The sequence below is a fragment of the Homo sapiens genome, chromosome 20 (genome assembly GCF_000001405.40).
Source record: "Homo sapiens chromosome 20, GRCh38.p14 Primary Assembly".
NCBI classification, from domain to species: domain Eukaryota; kingdom Metazoa; phylum Chordata; class Mammalia; order Primates; family Hominidae; genus Homo; species Homo sapiens.
The window spans coordinates 54544906-54565515 of record NC_000020.11 but is presented as its reverse complement, the minus strand read 5'-3'; the positions used below and the strand labels follow the sequence as shown (position 1 = coordinate 54565515).

At 39.3% G+C, this 20610-nt stretch overlaps 1 protein-coding gene across 4 annotated transcripts in view; it reads right to left on the bottom strand.

Moving 5' to 3' along the window:
- DOK5 (docking protein 5) overlaps window positions 1–20610 on the bottom strand; it is a 175577-nt gene that overhangs the window by 85654 nt on the left and 69313 nt on the right. For 3 of the 4 annotated variants that reach the window (NM_018431.5, NM_177959.3, XM_011528904.2), the window contains exon 2: window positions 10476–10583. In NM_018431.5, coding sequence (NP_060901.2) covers window positions 10476–10583 — 108 coding nt within the window. Of the gene's footprint in view, window positions 1–10475; window positions 10584–16190; window positions 16532–20610 lie in introns of those variants that run through there. The other variant, XM_024451946.2, reaches the window with a different exon arrangement.

Here is a 20610-nt window from a genome sequence, read left to right as displayed (position 1 = left end):
TGAGATCACAGGCGTGAGCCACTGCACCTGGCCAACATAATTTCAACAGTGAGAAAGGCTATCTACTTAATATATGGTAGTTTTTCTTGTCCATAGTTTCTGTTTCAGAGGCTTCAGGTTACCCACAGTCAGCTGTGGTCTGAAAATAGGTGAGTATAGTACAATAGATATTTTGAGAGAGAGAGGCCACATTCATATAACTTTTATTACAGTATATTGTTATAATTGTTCTATTTTATTATTAGTTATTGTCAATCTCTTATTGTGCCTAATTTATGAATTAAACTTTATCATAGGTATGTATGGATAGGAAAAAACATAGAATATATAGGGTTGAGAGGTATACACAGTTGCAGCCATCCACTGGGGGTCTTGGAATGTATCCCCCACACATAAAGTGAGAGTACAGTACTAAAGAAATGTGATTCTGAGAAGCATGGAGTATTCAAATAAGGCCCTTTTCAGGCAGTGAAATTGAGCTAATCCCTGAAGGAAGAGAAAAAAAATGGGGGAGAGCTCAATAGAACAAAGGAACAGAAACTGCAAAGGCTTTGAGACAGGACAAATGAAGGGAGGTCATTGTAGCAAAGTGACAAGTGGCATGGCAAGTCGGAGAAATGTGCTGGAGCAGAATCATACAGGGCTTAGGAGACCAGGGTATTGGCAATGAGCTTTGATATAATTCTAAGGGTGACGGGAATCCTCAAAAAGAAGAAAAGAAATATTGCAGAGGCACAGCTTTGAAACTACCTTGTACTTGCAACTCACAGGTGATATCTGATCCAACGTTTGTGACTCCTGCCCCCGTAGATGTTACAACATGGGATTGACATCACCTTTGACCTTGTTTCAACCATGGTCATACTACATGGTATATGTATTTTTTTTCTCTCTCTCTGATTTTGTTCTTTGTGTTTTCTTTGAAACCTGTCATTCTGGCATATAAAACATTCAGCTTTCCAATCACAATTAGGGTACTCTTACAGAGGAGGCATAGACACAAATTTGTCCTTGATGGTTTCAATGGTGTTGACCAAAATAATATTTTGGGAAGCATATGTGTATCTCTAATAAAAATCTTTTTTTTGACGGAGTCTTGCTTTGTCGCCGAGGCTGGAATGCAGTGGTGCAATCTTGGCTCACTGCAAGCTCCGCGTCCCAGGTTCATGCCATTCTCCTGCCTCAGCCTCCCGAGTAGCTGGGACCACAGGCACCCACCACCATGCCCAGCTAATTTTGTTTTTTGTATTTTTTTTAGTAGAGACGGGGTTTCACCGTGTTAGCCAGGATTGTCTTGATCTCCTGACCTCATGATCCGCTCACCTCAGCCTCCCAAAGTGCTGGGATTACAGGCGTGAGCCACCGTGCCCAGCCATAGAAGTCTTATTATAGCTGAAGTATTTGTAATGTTTTCATCACAATGAATGTATCTATATAAACTATAAATAACTGAAAGAAAATAGGAGTCTAGGTCCAACGCAATAAAGTATGATGATAGTTTTATTTGTAATTTACACATATTAAAATAGTAGACCTACTAAGTATAGTGCCACATGTTGCCTCCTGGGAATACCATTGCTTTCTCTTTCTAGCATTAGTTCAAGGGGTAAATAAGAGATTTAAAAAAAATTTTAAAGGCAGCTTTCAGGCCAATCACCCGGAGAGATATTCAATTTATACTTTCTTATATTTTAAAATTACAGTTAAATATTGAAAGTGTTCAACTAAAAGATCTTTGCTTCCAGTTTCTCTCGAAACAATGGAACGTGTGACAAGAGCGAGCCCACATTGCTGTAAGACAAGAATCTGGTATTGAATAACATGAAAGTAAAAAAAAAAAAAAAAAAAAAACCTGACAAATAGAGAAGAGAAAAGCAAAGGGGACAGGCAATAAGATCGTTAACAACTGAGACTGATATAAGAATCAGTCTCAGTATCAGAACATTTATGGGGAAGGGCACAGAGGTTTAACCATGTTATTGAATGTTCCACATACAGTAGAATATTTATTGAAAGTAATGTAATTGTCACAATTTGTAAGGAAGAAGAAAGAGTTGATGAGATTACATAAATGAGCCAAACCATTAACTTTCTAAAGGGGAGGAATCTGTTGGTAATGTTGGAAGTTAATAAAACAAGAAACAAAGTTATAAACACATCATTGAGAGTTACAGAGGCAACCACCAGGAAAATGAACACCAGGGAATGACAATGGTGATTAAGCCTCGGGAGGTGAATTCGTTTCCTAGAGTAGGGTTGCAGTAACAAAGTACTAGGTGTCTTGCACAACAGAAATGTATGCTGTCACAGTTCTGGAGGCCAGAGCCCAAAATCAAGGTGCTGGCAGGGTTGGTTCCTACTGGAGGCTGTGAGGGAGAGTCTGTTCCATGCATCTATCCTACGGTCTGGTGGCTGCCGCAGTCCTTGACACCTTTGGCTTTTAATTGTATCACTCCAGTGTCTGCCTGTCTTCACATGGCTTTCTCCCTGTGGGTCTGTGTCTCTTCTTATAAGGGTACCAGCTATGGGACTGGGGTCCACTCTAATCCGATAATCCCACAGCAACTTGAATACATTACAAAGATCCTAGTTCCAAATAAAGTCACATCCACAGGTACCAGCAGTTACACCTTAGGCATATATTTTTGGGAGGTCACAATTCAACCCACAACAGAAGGGTGGGAATAAAGTAGGCACTGCTACTTTTCATGATAAGCGCTTCAATACCATTTGATTTTTTTTTTAACCTTCTGTATGTTTTAGATTGATTTTTTTAATGTAAATATGCGTACAAATGAGGCCTGGCACAGTGGCTCGTGCCTGTAATCCCAGCACTTTGGGAGGCCAAGGAGGGAGAATCACTTGAGCCCACGAGTTCGAGACCAGCATGGACAATGTAGCAAGACCCTGTCTCTACAAATAATAAAAAATCAGCTGGGCATGGTGGCGCACGCCTGTAGTTCCAGCAACTCAGGAGGCTGAGGTGGGAGGACTGCTTAAGCCCAGGAGGCAGAGGTTGCAATGAGCCAAGATAGCACCACTGCACTCTAGCCTGGATGGCAAAGCAAGACACTGTCTCAAATAATAATAATAATAAATAAAATTTAAAATATGATGTCATTATCTCTGTTATTAGAAGGTCTTCTCCATAAGACAAAACCATGCATGTGCTCAGATGACAGAGAATTTGGCATGTGAGTCACATGGCCCTTTTAATTCTCAATACACCAGGGTTCCCTAACATTTCTACTATGCAATACTAGTATAAGTAGGCCAAGAATCATTTCCTGGGAACCGTAAGGGCCTGTAGAATCCAAAGTACCTACTTTGCATGAGACACTATGTTGGAAAGATAGATACAAAGATGAATAAAGCATGGTTTCTATCTTCAAGAAATTCAAATCCAACGGACAGTGACCATGTCAGGATACTCCTGGCTGTGAATAACAGAATTCCCTACCCAGAGTGCATTGGATGATGAGGAAATTTTACTACATCTCTAATAGCTAGGACTCTGGTGCACACAAGAGAAAATCCAGCATTATAAAGGCTTAAACGTGGCCAGGCGCAGTGGCTCGCGCCTGTAATCCCAGCACTTTGGAAGGCCGAGGTGGGCGGATCACCTGAGGTCGGGAGTTCGAGACCAGACTGACCCACAAGGAGAAACCCCCATCTCTACTAAAAATACAAAATTAGCCGGACTTGGTGGCGCATGCCTATAATCCCAGCTACTTGGGAAGGCTGAGGCAGGAGAATCGCTTGAACCTGGGAGGTGGAGGTTGCGGTGAGCCGAGATCGCACCATTGCACTCCAGCCTGGGCAACAAGAGCAAAACTCTGTCTTAAAAATAAATAAATAAAGGCTTAAACAAGAAAGAAGTTTATTCCTCTCATATAAAACAAATCCAGAGGTAAGTAGTCTTGGGTTGCCCTGGGGTTCTACAGTGTGAGGGAGAACAGACCAGCCCTGAGCACCCAGTTCCAGGCTTCACCTGTTGCTGGGCTACCCTCAATCCATGAGCTTTCCAGTATCATGGGCCAAGATGGCTGACGCCCATTTTCGAATCAGTAGGAAAGAACAAGAGACGAAGAAGGGTATGTGTCTTCTGTGCTTATTCCCCTGAGGCCAGGAATCAGTTGCAGGAACATATCTCTCTGCACAGGGGTCTTTACTATGGGTTGCCTTGTCTCCAACTAGAAATCAGACATCCATTACCAAAGAAGAAGGGATCAGCCCCAAATGGACAGAACCTGCCACCACCATGAAAATAAAGCCCTGCTTTCATTGTGACCAGTGCATCCAGGCAGAGGGGGCCCAGCAGATGAACCACCTCAGGGAAAGTCGAGAAGACTCTTGGGGAGGTGAAGACAGAGCAGAGACTTTGAGGGATTGATAAATGTTTGCCACATGGACCACGAAAGAAAAGGGGTCTATACAGCGGGAGTGCTGCATGCAAACCTGGTGATGGATTGATTTGAGAGGGAATATGGAAGAGAGTAAGTCAAAGACAACTCCCTGGCTTCTGCCTTGAATAACAGAATGGATCCTGATGCTGTACAATGAGCCACAGAAGCCCATAAAGAAACCAAGCTCAGGCCGGGCATGGTGGCTCACACCTGTAATCCCAGCACTTTGGGAGGCCAAGGTGGGTGGATCACTTGAGGTCAGGAGTTCGAGACCAGCCTGGCCAACCTGGTGAAACCCCGTCTCTACTAAAAATACAAAAAATTAGCTGGGCATGGTGGTGGATGCCTGTGATCCCAGCTACTTGGGAGGCTGAAGCAGAAGAATCACTTGGACCCAGGAGACAGAGGTTGCAGTGAGCCGAGATCGTGCCATTGCGCTCCAGCCTGGGCAACAAGAGCAAAACTCCATCTGAAAAAAGGAAAGAAAGAAACCAAGCTTGGGTAGGAAAGAGTTCAGTCAGTTTTGAACGTGTTTCAGGAGTCTTTGGCACTCTGGTACTGACTCATACTTCCTTGACTAGAAAAAAGTACTTAAATTGGAAAAATAGGGTGTTTTGTACTACAGTCAACCTCTTTTATCTAATTTACCTAAGCCTTAGAAATGTGGATATGGAATTATTTATCACCTGGGAAAAACATCAGAGTAATAATCCATCATTTAATTTATGGAGATGTGAAGAGTCATGTCCTCTTTGGCATAAGCTTAGGAAACTTCTAGAATATGGCATGGTGGGTAGTTTCTTACATGAGGAGGGGATGACTCCAAAGTAAATATCTGAGTATTGAAAGAGGGGGCTGTGACATTTTATGATTTTGAAAAGACATATTATAGACAGCTGTATCGGAAGAGGAAATGTTTTAGATGAGGAAGAAACTGTGTAAAAAAAGAATGAATCATTAGTACAGAAAAGGTTATCACACACACACACAGATAAGTTGGATGAAATTCCAGAGAAATAAATTTTAGGACATTAGCTCATTGTGCGGAAGCTAGAATCCTATTTTTGCAGAAACGAAGAACAAGGTCTGACATTGAGCTTAGGAGATACAAATGACCTAGTCACTATAAAGGGTAGAATGACAGAACAAATAAGACCAAAGGTGTTTGGGAGAATAAAAATAATAATGGCAATTAATCTCTACAGTTAGAGAGTTGTTCCCTTTTCAAATACATTCACGTTCATTTAATACACACATTAACCCTGATTTAGATAAAGTAGAAACGATCATCCCTAGTTGTTTACTGTTGAAACAACAATAAGTTAACACATGAAAGCAGCAAATCCCAGACTGTGTTCCCTAGAATTAAATTTATTTGTTCCATGGAACACACGATTAAAACAAATAGTTCCATGGCCCAGCTGTTTTGGAAATGCTGACTCAAAGTCCCTCCAATTTCTTAACTGTAGGACTTTTCAGAGCCCATGAGGGGCTGCAGTGGGTTATGAATCTCAAAGATGGGGCCATAAACGTTGCAGTTGCCAATTTCTTTGACCACACAACATTTAATCATGAAAGGCTCTTTTGACACACTCTTTCGTTCACATTTTGGGAAACATTAAACACAGGATTTGCTGGACTTGTCCTTCTGGTCCAAGGTGAACCGAATCCCTGCAGACTCAGCCACATGTGATGATGAGGAAGCAAATGTGTGACTTGCCTTGGAGGCCACCTTTACACAGAAAGAGGATGACTTGTCAGACATATACGGTGGCAAAGCTGGGATTAGAACTCAGGCTACCTAAATCCAGGACCGGCATACTTCTCACCATACCATTTGCCTTGGTCTCAAAAGCGGTCAATGGTCTTCCTTCCACTCTATTTCCTCTCAAGTGTTACTCATCTTGAAAAAGTAAAACTATGCACAGAAACTTTCATCCCCTTCTAATTAGTATAAGCAACATTATTTCCTGAAGGAAAACATGGAACTAGTGTTTAACAAGGTCAGAAACTATATTTAAAGTCACTGGAGTCTTACTATTGTGGGAATTACAGTTAATCAAATTTGCAGCCATCTCTGACAGCTATGGGTGCTTGAGGGGTGCTTCGTGGAGGAAGTAAGAAATAAAAAATAAATTGTTCTATATGTGCATTATTCATATGTTTATTTTCCAATTTTTGCAGGAGTGTACTTCGAGCTACATTTTCAGTGAGGGGGTACCAAATTTTAAAATTCTACAATCTTTTTCTTGTGTTGAAACTTCTAAAAAGAGTCAGATATGCAAAACTGGCATTTTTTTCTTAATAATATCTTTAAAAATAAAATGGGAGAAGTACTGTGCTCTTATAAAGGCTAAGATTTCCTATGGGAGGGATATGTCTGCATCCACCACACCACCTCCGTATTGATCAAATAGCATGATGTACATTTCCTCATTTCTTTTGGAAACGGCTTTATTTATGTTAGAATAAACTCTAAAATTTGGTCACGGTGTGCTACTTATAACCCCAGTATTTTATTATCAAGATTCATAAATTACACAGCATTTAGATGAAAAATGCATATCTCAGAATTACTCCAGCTTTTTATGTGCCCCGAGAGATTAATACTAAATGTATCAGATCTAAAAGAGTAGAGGATGAATCAGCTACAGGAATTCATCAAGGGCTTGGAGGCTAAATGTAGATAATTCTTCCATTCTAATGCTTTGAACTTTGGTTAATGATTATTATAGGTGAAAGAGAATGTGGCTTACCAATTTCCCCAAAGATTTACATATTAAATTCCAAAGCCAGCAGGTAGAAGTCTGAAATAGAGCAAGTTTGTCCTCAACTTCCCTTTATTCATTTCACATTCAAGCAAGAGCTTTTTCATCCACTTTGGTTTTATATTTTTCTGTCCTCCTAAAACATCCAAATCCTGGCTTTTTCTGCTTCCATCACTGCCCACCCTATTTTCTCCAAATCAAAGTTTCTTTTTCTGGTTTCAGATGCCTCAAGTACAGATTTCTTCTGGTAAACTAAATAAAAGTATGACACATAGACATCTGTATGTATTCCATTTCCTCTACTGATAACATTTCTTGCTTTTCAGCCAATACTTTTAAAAGTGTTCACTATGTGTTAGATTCTGGTAACTAATAGTGAATCATGTCTCCCATCCCCAAAAAATCCCTGTCTTTGTAGACCGTATTTTATGCGGGGAAGAGGGGAAGACAATAGGAAACAACCAAGCAAGTGTGTTATGTTCTGGTGCCTCCTGAGAAGAGCAATAAGAGGGATGTGGAAGGCAGTGAGTAGGTGGGTTCTATTTCCAACAAGGGAGTCAAGAAATGGCCTCTCTTAGAGGAGCAATTTGAGCAACGCACTGAACAAAGTAAGGGAGCGAGCTCTGTGGGTACCTGGGGGAGAGCATTCCAGGAAAAGGGAAGAGCAGGTATAAAGGGCAGGAGGTGCTTGGCATCTTCCAAGGAAAGAGAGGAGCCCAGGGCACCTGGAGAAGAGGAAGGTGGGATTAAGGAAACTCAGAGATGAGGTTAAAAGGGCAGCAAGAAATCAAATCGCGTGATCGCATTGACCAGGGACCCTCATCCCTGGGCAGCAGATGGGTACTGGACCAGTACTGGTCTATAGCCTATTAGGAACCCGGCTACACCGCAGAAGGTGAGCAAGCATTCCTGCCTGAGCTCCACCTCCTGATTCTCATAGAAGTGTAAAATCTATTGTGAACTGTGCATGCTAGGGATCTAGGTTGCCTGCTCCTTATGAGAATCTAATGCCTAATCATTTGAAGTGGAACAGTTTCATCCCGAAACCAATCCTGCCCCCAACCCCGTCTGTGGAAAAATTGTCTTCCCTGATACCTGTCCCGGTGCCAAAAAGGTTGGGGACCACTGGCATAGACCATTATCAGACCTTGGCTGAGGGTGTTGCAGCAAAGAATATCGTGATGTGATATAAGTGTTTCGAACAGACTCTAGAAGCCCAAGAATTTGGCAGCCCACTGCCTAGGACCCCAGTAGTAGCAGTAGAGACTGTGAGCTGTGTTCAGAGTCTCCATACATTTTGAGCATACAGCCAACACCATTTGCCGATGGATGGGATTTGAGGAGTTCCTATAATGTATTCCTCATTTATCTTCTTTCTTCTCTTAGGTATGTATAGGTCTATCTGTAACATAGCCTATTTCTTATTTTTTCTACATTCAGAAAGGTTGGCATATGGAATTGTGAAGAATTAGATGTTTGGATTGTGAAGAACCAGACATATTTGGAACTCTACCAAGACAAAAAAGGACCAAAAGGCCACACACAATGACCAGACAGTACAGAGCCTCAGGGTGAATTGCAAAGTTACAGACCGGCTAAGGTTCTCAAGAGAAGACCTGATGTGTAACTATACTTTCTGGCCACCTAAAGCTCTGTCTGTGTCTAGATGATAAGCCAAACATCTTCCTGGGTATTTTGATTCTCTTTTAAGAAAAGGCTGTTCTAGCAAAAATAAAGCAAGTCATCCTTATAGCATTGCTCGCCATCTTGTTATAAGGGAAAATACTGGATACATGAGGGATAACTGGGCCATAATACATCTGGTTCAAAATGACTGGATACAAATAGTTTAGAGTGTTATAAAAGTGGAGAGTTTGGCTCAAGATTATTTGCAGAGTTCAGAGTTATGCTATCACTGGCTTCATGGATCACTGTGCCTAAATAATACATTTTCAATTCAACAACTCCTCCCTGAGAACAAAAAATATATATATTTGAACAGTGTCATTTCATATTTGGCATATGACAGATAAATGATAGAGGAAATCTGGACTCAAAAAGGTATAAGTGGGTTCTCCATTGGAGAGAAGAAAGGCTGGGAGTGGGAGAAGCCTTGGAATGTGGAACTGCTTCATGGGGTGACAGGGAAATGAAATGCATGGAAGACGCCACCCTTGACTCCCTTCTCTACCTGTCTCAAAAGCTTGTTTTGTGCTTATTCTTCCCTTATGTACATACAGGTGTGCCTATAAAGTATAACGTAGTCCTTATTTCTCTAATTTGAGAAGAAATGCAGCTTCCCCATTGTTTTCATCATCATATAAACCAAAGTGTCATCATAGACCCTTTATAAGGTGTCGAAAAGTCACTACTTTTGGAGAATTTGCACAAAAGGAAAAGCTGTTCACTTCCCCCACCTAGCCAAGTTTCTGTTCTAATAGATCAACTGGTTTCGCATAAAATTTTAAATGGCAAAGAAGCCTGGCCCCAGTAAATTCTCACCAAATGAGGCTTAAAGAATCTTCAAGATGGAAAGCCAAAATTAAAATGTTCTATCATAAAAATAAGCATAGTTCCTTCATAGACAAAAGAGTAGTATTTTCTCCATATGAAAATAACCAGAGCCTCGGAGGAGTGTTAACCATGTGCTTTCACACGTTTTCATGAAAAAAGAAAATACATAGGCTGCGTGTTAACAAGGACCACGGAAATATACTGCCATGTAGAGGGAAATATTTAGCTAATTTGTGAATCCACGTGGTAAGTAAATCTTGTACTTACCTTAATGAGTTGTAACACACAATGACTATTTTTATTGAGAAAATCTCACTACTACTAAGAAAATTTAGTCATCAAACTTAAAGAAAACAATAAATCGGTAGAACTTCCTCTTCGTCCACTGTTACCTGTTTTCTGCTTCTTCCCCTCCCTTCTCTCCCCACATTCCCCAAGCATTGAATGAGTGTCTTTCTGCATCAGGCAGTGTCTGAGACACAATGAGATCCAGTCCTCATCCTCTCGGGGCTTCAGTGTAGGGAGTACAACAACATGATAAGTCCCATAGCAGAGACTGGAAAACAGCAAGAACAGCTACAGCAAATAGCAGGAAACCAGAAAAGTGACTTTACATTAGTCAATTACTTGAAACAATTAGCAAGCAGATGTTATTTTAGGGGTGTTTTGTCCTTGGAAAAGATATTGCTTGTACCTTTGTTAAATAATTCAGGCAAGTTTTCAGTCAGTAATTCCAGTTGCCTCCCTGTAAATAGATTACTGGAAAGCTACAGCAATTGAGTCTTACCTTATGATAACACCTGAAATATGCAGCACGTTCATCAGAAAATTTCTCCAGTCTTTTTGGACCTTTGCTTGAAGCTTTCTTGAATACTAACCAGCATCGCTGATAAATCTGGAAGGAAATACAAAGACTGAGCTCAGCATCTCCCCTGACTGACATTTGCATTTAAATGTTTTCTTTTTGATGTTTTCACCTGTGAAATATTTGCAAGCCAGAAATGTGATGTTGCTTTGTGAAAATAAAGTTTTAAAAATCAAAATTGTTTCCACAACGGGCATATTATGTGTCATTCAGACAATTACTGGAATCAAAAGAAAATAAGTATTTGAAGATAAATTTCTTCATGCTTTGATAGCAATATCACTAGGTATATTTCAGAAAAAAGTCCCAGAGATAAAAATCCCAAATGTACAAATAAAATAGGCATTCAAGGAACATGCTAGAATTTCAAGTGCAATTAAATCTGAAAACCATGGGCTTGGTCTATGCTGAAGATCTCATTGCCCATCCTAGAATCTGGCAGCTCATGGTTGTCGTGATATTCCTCATAATGGATGGTGAAGAGTTGGACCAGACACTAAACTAACTAGCTAATAATTGGCTGATTAACACCAACCAGATTCTTGCTTAGGATATTCAACCCAGAGACTTGAAGATTACTACCAGAGGTGCAGACCAAATTGAAAGGTCAATGCTGGTAGGTTTAAACAGAAGTTGTTGGCCATGTTGAATCACTTGCAGGAGAGTTAAGCTGTGGAACCTGCTACAGGGAACTAGATCATTTCTACTCTAGGTAAAAGAGACATTTTAGTTCTTCACAATCTTTCAATTCCTAATACTGAGATCTAGCCTTTCCTCTGGGTTTCTTGGAAATCATCTATATCCCCAGGAACCCATCACCATCAACATCACTGCAACTTTTAATTAAGCTAGCTTGAATGGGGGTCTGATTCTAGCAACCAAAACTATCCTGAAGAAAATAACTAGTAAAAGGTACACTAGCACATTAAAATATTAATAATGCCAGAGAGAGAAAATGCAAAGAGCTAATGAGCATATGAAAAACAATATTCTCCAAAAGCAAAATAAAATGAGACATTTTTAAACCTAAAAATTACTAAGTATAATTTTTTTTTTTTTTTTTTTTGAGACAGAGTCTTGCTCTGTCACCCAGGCTGGAGTGAGGTGGTGCGATCTCCGCTCACTGCAACCTCCGCCTCCTGGGTTCAAGCGATTCTCCTGCCTCAGACTCCTGAGTAGCTGGAATTACAGGCAAGCACAACTAGGCCCAGCTAATTTTTGTATTTTTTTAGTAGAGACCGGGTTTCACCATGTTGGTCAGGCTGGACTCAAACTCCTCACCTCATGATCCACCCGCCTCGGCCTCCCAAAGTGCTGGGCTTACAGACGTGAGCCACCGCGCCCAGCAAATGAGTATAATTTAATAATAATAGTTACTGATGGCAAATGTCTGAGTGGCACTATTATACTCGACTGGTCATCTTTAAAGGTCGCTTGACAATAAATAACCTAAAAAGAATAGAAATCAGGCCGGGCGCGGTGGCTCACGCCTGTAATCCCAGCACTTTGGGAGGCCGAGGCCGGCGGATCACAAGGTCAGGAGATCGAGACCATCCTGGCTAACATGGTGAAACCCCGTCTGTACTAAACATACAAAAAGTTAGCCGGGCATGGTGGCGGGCACCTGCCGTCCCAGCTACTTGGGAGGCTGAGGCAGGAGAATGGCGTGAACCCGGGAGGCGGAGCTTGCAGTGAGCCGAGATGGCGCCACTGCACTCCAGCCTGGGCGACAGAGCGAGACTCCGTCTCAAAAAGAAAAAGAATAGAAATCTATCCTTAGGAAAAAACCCAAAACAAAATGAATTCCATATTCAAGTGCAGACGGGTGGCTGCTCTTCAGTCATGATTATCCTCGATCCTTAAATTACCTCCAATTACCATATATATGTGGTTTTGTATATTTGACCTATAAATAAATTTTATGTACTACAAAGTTTAAGAACCTCTGAGCTAATAAGAAGAAACAAAACAAAGTCTACATAAAATATTTGGTCCTTCAAAACATAGTCAATTTAAAAACCTCTTATAATTCTATCAGTACCTGGCAGATGGGTGAGGAATTCAAGTTAACTACTACTTGTCTGCAATGTTTATATATTCCATTTTTCTCTTCTGTCTCAGAAACTTGAACATAAATTAACTGCTTTGTTCAGGGTGAAAAAACGAAATCCACTCTACTCCGAAGTTTAGTTCTAAATAAAGAAGCTAAGATATGTGTCTGATCCCACCGAATGTACAATAAAATGTTAGCAGCATTATTTACAATAAAAAAGTCAGGGATTACTCAAATTTCAACAATAAGGAGTGACAAAGTAAATTATAATACTTCTACAATATATAATGTAATATATCTACTTATCTATAGAGCAACATTAGTAGCTATATAAAGTAAATGGTACACATATAGTAAACATGTAGTACATATTACGATACATATAGAATATATCTATAATAAATGTTATACATCTGTAAGATAACATAGGTAATTATTTTATAAAAAATAGTAATATAGATAGTGTACATAATATTTATATAGTAAATTATACTACATCTATAATACATATATTATCTGTCTGCAGGATAACATAGTTGGTTCATTTGAAACAAGTTTCAGAAGGAATTTCCAAGGACATAGAAAAGTGTTCATAATATGTTATTGTGGGGAGGGGTGAAGCAGAATATAAATTTTCATTTAGGTCATGATCTCCACTATACTAAAAATGCATTGGAAAAAGACAAAAAAAAATGTTAACAACGTTTTCTCTGGATCGTGAGAATAGATTTTGGGTTTTGTTTGTTAGTTTTTGTTTTGTTTAATAAAAGTTAATACTGTATGGCTGGGCAAGGTGGCTCATGCCTGTAATCCCAGCACTTTGGGAGGCCAAGATGGATGAATCATTTGAGGCCAGGAGTTTGAGACCAGTCTGGCCAATATGACAAAACCCCATCTCTACTAAAAATATAAAAATTAGCTGGGAGTGGTGGCACATGCCTGTAGTCCCAGCTACTCTGGAGGCTGAGGCACATGAATTGCTTCAACCCAGGAGGTAGAGGCTGCAGTAAGCCGAGAACATGTCACTGAACTCCAGCCTGGGCAGCAGAGAGAGACTACCAAAAAAACAAAACAAAACAAAAAACCTGTAAATTAAATGAAAGAGGATTCTGTTATTTTTTAAATACCCAGAGGTATTAGTATAATTAGTCAATTCTATTGGTTTTCATCCTGCACAGTTATTAAATCCATCAAGCAATATAAAAACACAGATACAAAGGTGGAAAAGCAATTCAGTGGAAGAAAAGCAAACTTTTCAGTGTACAGTACTGAGGCAATTGGACATCCATGGAGGGGGGTGGAAAAATCGTCGACTTAAACATTAAAACACTCACCTTATATAAAAATAGCTTAAAATAGACCTAAATATTAAATAAAATGATAAAACTTAAATATCAAATAAAACGATAAAAAGAAAATGCATGAGATCACAGTCTGGAGAGAGTTCTTAGACCTGTTATCAAAGGCATAATCCACAGAGGGAAAATTTGAAAAACTGGACCTCATCAAAATGAAAACTTCCGTTATGTGAAAAACTCTGTGAAGAGGATGAAAAGACAAGTGAGAGACTGGAAGAAAAGATGTGTAAACCACATATCTGACAAAGAACTGGTATCTAGAATAGGCAAAGAACCCTCAAATCACAACAGTAAAACAAACAAATAATCTAATGACAAAATGGGCAAAAGTCATGAACAGACATCTCACCGGAGAGGGTGCGCAGATGTTCAAGAAGCACATGAAAACATGTTCAATATCACTGCCTCTGAGGGAAGGGCAAATTAAAACCACAATGGCTACCAATACACACCTATCAGATTGGCTGAAATAATAATAATACCACCACCACCAAATGCAGACAAGGATGTGGAAAAATTGGATGACTCATACATAGTTGGTGGGAATGCAACATGGTACAGCCACTCTGAAAAACAGTGGTAGTTTCTTAAAAAATGAAACCAGCATCATACAACCAGAAGTTTCATTCTTAGGAATTTATGACACAGAAATGAAAACTTTTATCCCCACATAAAAAAAAAATCTGTATATGAATATTTATAGCTTTATTCAAAATAGCCGAAACCTGGAAGCCTCATAATGTGGAAATCCTTCTGTGGGTGAATGATTAAACGAACTGTGGTACATCCTCCATACAATGGAATACTACTAGCAATAAAAAGAAATTGACTATTAATATCTGCAACAACTTGGATAAATCTCTGTAAGAATTATACTGAGTGAAAAAAACAGCCAAATCTAAAATGTTACATACTACATGATTGCATTTGTATAGCATTCTTGATGTCACAAAATTATAGAAACGGAAAACAGATTAACGATGGTCTGAAGTTAGGAATGTGGTGGTGGAGGAGAGAGGGAGCCCAGGGATGTGGATTTGGCTGTAACAGGTTAACATCAGGGATCCTTGTGGCAATGGAACTGTTCTGTAGCTTGACTACATCAATATCAATGTCAATATCTTTGTTACGATATCATACTGTAGTTTTGGAAGACTTTACTACCAGAGAAACTGAGTAGAGGGTATAGGATCTTTTTGTAATATTTCTTACAATTGAATGTGAATTTACAATTATCTTGAAATAGAATGTTTAATTAAATTTTTAAAAAGACAGTAAGATGTACAGATATTAAAGCAAGATCTTAAAATTACAGCCTAATCTAACATATGTCATCTACATTCTTCTCCAGTCCTTTTTTTTTTTTTTTTTGCCATCCAATCACAGTCTAATTAACGACCAGAGTGAGTAACTTTAAGAAGGCAAGTTACAAGAGCCATTGGTAAGAGTTCAAGCACAAAATCCTTTTCAGGTGGAGATTCAGCCATGAAAATGAACATTCTCAGTACTATGGTTGTCAAGGAGAGTCCTATCAACATCTTGCTTATGTCTGAATAACAGATGAGACGATTGGCTCCCTTGAAATATTTCCACCACCTGAGAACTGTAATTACAGTGGGAATGAACGTCACTCTGCTTCTTCAAATAAAGGATGTGAAAAATAAGTTTCTTGCTGTCATTCTACTATTGGCAACCTCTTGCTTTTGTACATGCCCCAAGAATGTGTTCAGAAACTGAACATGCTAAAGGTATGCAAAAATCATGCCCACTGCAAGAAAAAATATCTTCACCAAGAAAGATATTTTACATTTCCTAACTATCCCTCAGTTTTCAGACCCAAACTTCAATGACAGCATTTCTAACATTTTTTAAAATGTGTTCATTTTCTTCACAGTTTTTGCCTGGCTTATGTCCAAAAGCTGCTGAATGCAAGTTAAAGGTTCTTCAATTTCAGCATGCCTAATGATTTCCATTTTTGACCCATCGGTATTAAGTCTAGGGGACTTTTTTCTCATTTCTTATTTTTCTTTTGATTTATTAAGTAGTAAGGACAAATGAAAATACATTGGTTCATTAGAAGATAAGGAAAACTCAAATTTGGTTTATGAACAGGCAGTCTGTGATGTCAAACTATAACATACAAACACATGGTACAAAAGCAGACAGTACCAAAGTTGAGAGCAATGTGTGCAATCAAGATCTTTCCTTTATTGTCATATATCATACCTCAGTGATTCTCACTGTTTGGTCCAGCATCACTCAGGATAATTGTTAAATATGCAGATTCCTAGAGACTAGCCGAGGTCTACTGAGTCAAAACCTCTTCAGTTGGGACCAGACAAATTTGCTCTTTACCATGTTTTCAGGTATTTTATCTGTAATTTGCAAGTCAATCCCATAAATATTTATAAAGTACTTTCAGACGACGCTGTGTCTCCCTCTTGGGGCTGCCGACAAAGACTTCTAAAAGTGCTTCCCGATGCGGGCATCTGAGATGGGTGGCTTGCAAAAGGTGGCACATGGTGGCCTTTGAAACAGAGCGGCATGAGCTGCCATCTTGAGTTTGAGAGAGAAAGTGAAGGAGAAATGTAATCCGTTAAACTAAACTCCCAATTTCAACTGCCAGCACACTGTCCTAAGAACACGAGAAGAGCCACCAATATCCAGAGGACTAAAAGCTTATCCTAAATATCTCAGTATTGTTTAGCAAAAATAAAACAGGAAGACTTACTAAATATGATAGCATGTGGGAACTACTTGGGTTAACACTGGCATTGTTTCAAAGAATGACAGTTTGAAAATAATCCCATTCGCTTAAGAGTTTAGGGCAGTTTTTAAAAATTAATTCATTCAACTGTCTTTATATTTTATGTAACAAATCTACTTGTCATCTATAGTATTGTTTAGTTAACATTTTTCTTTAAATTGACTTTTTAAACTAACATTTTTATTTAAAAGAGAAATCTTTTATTCGAACTATAATAGTTTCACTGGCTATAAATAGTAGTTAATCCTGGCTGGGTGCAGTGGCTCATGCCTGTAATTCCAGCACATTGGGAGGCCCAGGTGGGTGAGTTGCTTGAGTCCAGGAGTTCAAGACCAGCCTGGGCAACATGGTGAAATCCTATCTCTATAAAAAAAAAAATACAAAAATTAGGTGTGGTAGTGCATGCCTGTAGTCCCAGCTGCTTGGGAAGCGGAGGTAGGACAATCATCTGAGCCCAGGGAAGTGGAGGCTGCAGTGAGTCAAGATTGTGCCACTGTACTCCAGCCTCATGACAGAGTGTCAATAAATAAATAAATAAATAAATAAATAAATAAAAGATAGGTAATCCTAATGTAAATACACTGTATGAGAATTCAATGATAGTATAACTTCCATGTTGAAATAGCTCACCTCCTATACATCATGTTTCTCAATTTTACCACAGTTGACATTTTGGGCCAGAAAATTCTTTCTAGTGGGGGGTTATCCTGTGCATGGTAGGATGTTTAGTAGCACCTCTGGCCTCCACCTGCTAAATGCCAGTAGCAGATTCTCCCACCTCCACTGAAAACCAAAATTGTCTCTAGACATTGTCAAACATCCTCTGGGGGGCAAAATGAGGACCACTGCCACAGCTGAATGCATGCTGATCTGAAATTGTATATTTGAAAAATATGTGTCTTTGTGAATATCTTCAAAGCCCCTGATTTGAACAAGTCAATCCCCACAGGCCACTGTCAAAGCTTAAGCAGATAAGCACATCACACAGTTCTAATAAGCTGGGTGGAAAGACAGCAGATTTAGTAGTTACATGAAAATCTCATTCAGCATGTACTTTGTTGTTGGTGGTGGTGATTTTATTATACCTAATTTTCAGCCTTAAATTGTCACCAATCCATGAATAATTTCTTCTGTTTTTCCTTTGTCTTTTCTTCCTTTAAAATTTGATACCCTTAATAATTGCTTAGCCCTGGTTTAAAATCTCTAACATTTTTTATTGGCTTCTTTTCCTAGCAAAGAATATTCTGGTAAGTTCACCAAAATTTCCAGTTCTAAGAAGCAGCTGAAACAATTAAGAATTTGCTTAGAATTCCTAATTTTACTATAATAGTAAGCCTTCACAATGTCTTAAAGAGTAACAATTATACTTCTAAAGGATTCAAGGACTGTTATGAAGAAAATAGCAAATTTTGGTCACAAAATTCCTGTTGAAAGGAAATAGTACACTGCCTGGGGCTGTTTAGGCCTTTATAATCTACCACAGGAGTTGGCAAACTTTCTGTAATGAGCCAAAGAGTAAATGTTTTAATCTTTGAGAGCCCCCAGGTCGCTATTGCAACTACTCAACTCAGCAAATATAGCATGAAAGCAGCCACAGAATATATGTAAATGAATGAGTGTGGATACCTTCCAATAAAACTTTATTTACAAAGCCAAGCAGTGGGCCAGATTTGGCCTGTGGACCATAGTTTGCCAACCTCTGGTCTACGGTAGTATTTCTCAACTCTTTAAGCTCAGATCTCATAGAAATCTGTTTGACAAGTCTCTCCAGGGAGAAATGGAAGTAATTATGCCTTCTGTGGAATCCCTATACATTCCACATCTCCCCATAAGCCAAGATTCTACTCCAATAAAACTCTATTAAAATGTTGACTTGAGGCTTTTTCAACCCCCTCCACCAAATGTCTGGTCTCCCTGTCCACCATTGGGGAATCACTGTTCTACAATTAAGGTGGATGCCATCCTGAAGAGCACTTTCTCATGCAGATCCATTAGCATCCCCATCTCTTGCACTGGGCTGCAGTTAGGTTTCTATAGTTATTCTATGAAGTTAAGGTACAATTTAACTAAGTAGGTGAAAATTGTTTTCCATTTTGCCAGCATTCCCTTTCTGTAATCACATTGACTTTCTCTTCTCAGAGCATTCTCTCCAAACTCTAAAGATATATATCAATGAGAACACTTGGACACAAGGTGGGGAACATCACACACTGGGGCCTGCTGTGGGGTCAGGGGAGGGGGGAGGGATAGCATTAGGAGATATACCTAATGTAAATGACGAGTTAATGGGTGCAGCACACCAACATGGCACATGTATACATATGTAACAAATCTGCACGTTGTGCACATGTACCCTAGTACTTAAAGTATAATAATAAAAAAAAAGATATATATCCTCACAGTGCTGACTGAATTAGCCTCAGTTCTCATGTGCTACTCCTATTGGCACTTACTTTCCAAAGCAAATCAAATATTTTTCTCAAGCAGGATGTTAATATTAATGCCTAGCATTGGCTGAACTCTTTTTCTGCGCACTGTGGAATGCTGAGCCTTTTATATGCATTATTTCAATTAGTCATCCCAACATTCCTGTTTGGCAGATTCTATTATTATTCCTATTTCACAGATGAGCAAATTTTGTTTTTAGTGAGGTTGAGCATCTTACTCAAGGTCAAAAGCTAGGAGAAATATGCCAGGATTCTAACTTTTGTTTGCCTGAATCTGGAAAATAAGCTCTTAACCACTACTCCAGGAATTTTTTCAGCAAAGTTGGACTCTTAGGGATGCATAAACTCAGGCTGATGGTCGATCCATCTGTAAGAAGTTTATTTTCATGCTTATCATAATCTAAAAAGAGACACTTAGTTGTAGCCATATGCTGTTTCATCTGGACGACTACTTTATAGATAATCTATTTCAGTGTGACATTTGCGTTTGTGATTTTAAGTTCACTCACTGGCACTAAGTGTTCACCCACAGTGATAGTTTTGAAGGGAGTTTTTCTGAAACTGGGTTCTTAAGACACTAATCCAGGACTCCATGTATCCTAGCAATCTGCAAGAAGTATTTGCTTTGAAAAGAACTCCATATTATCTCTCCTTCAGTGATAGCATAGTCAGTGTCTTTGACAGAAGTGCAGGAAGCCAAGCTAAGTATTTTTCTAACTACATTAGAATTAGATGTTATCTCATACAACTTCTCAACTCTTCTTGGATTTCATTGCTTCTCTAACTCTCAGCCTTTTGCTCTTCCTCTGCCATGGTGGTGGTAAACTAGTGTTCAGGCTAAATGACTCCCTGCTGGCCTGGACAGTCCACTATCTGGGGCTGACCAGTCACTTCTCCATGAGTGCCCAACCCTCCAATTTGGCTGACACTATCCCCTTAGAGTCTCAGTCTCCTCTGTCACTTTCAGGCTTTTCAATAGCCACAGAAAATGGTGTGGGTTGATATAATCTGGAAGTCAAGGGTGGAGATGTTAACCAAGGAGAACCAGGAGATAGGAGTTTGCCCCACAGGTAATGCCCCTCCATCCTATCTGCCATTGTCTGCAAATTTCTCCTTCTGCAATATAAGAGTGAAACCATCTTTGCAAAAATTATGACAGTGAGAAAATTAAGACAATGAAAGGGATTTGATCTAATCAGCCCTCATCTTGCCTTTAATCTCAAAACTGCCCTTAGTCATTCTTGGGCTTGGGCCAAGCTAACGTTGGGAGAAATTTAGTTTATAGGTTAAATGATAATCACTTTTCTTCAGAACTAAATGGCCTTTGTAAAACTTATGAAAGACCACCAGGTTAGGAGGATGAGAGGAGCTATTCTGCTAAGATGTAGGCATAAAGAATTACCAGCCATGATTCTGGAAGTCACAAGATTTG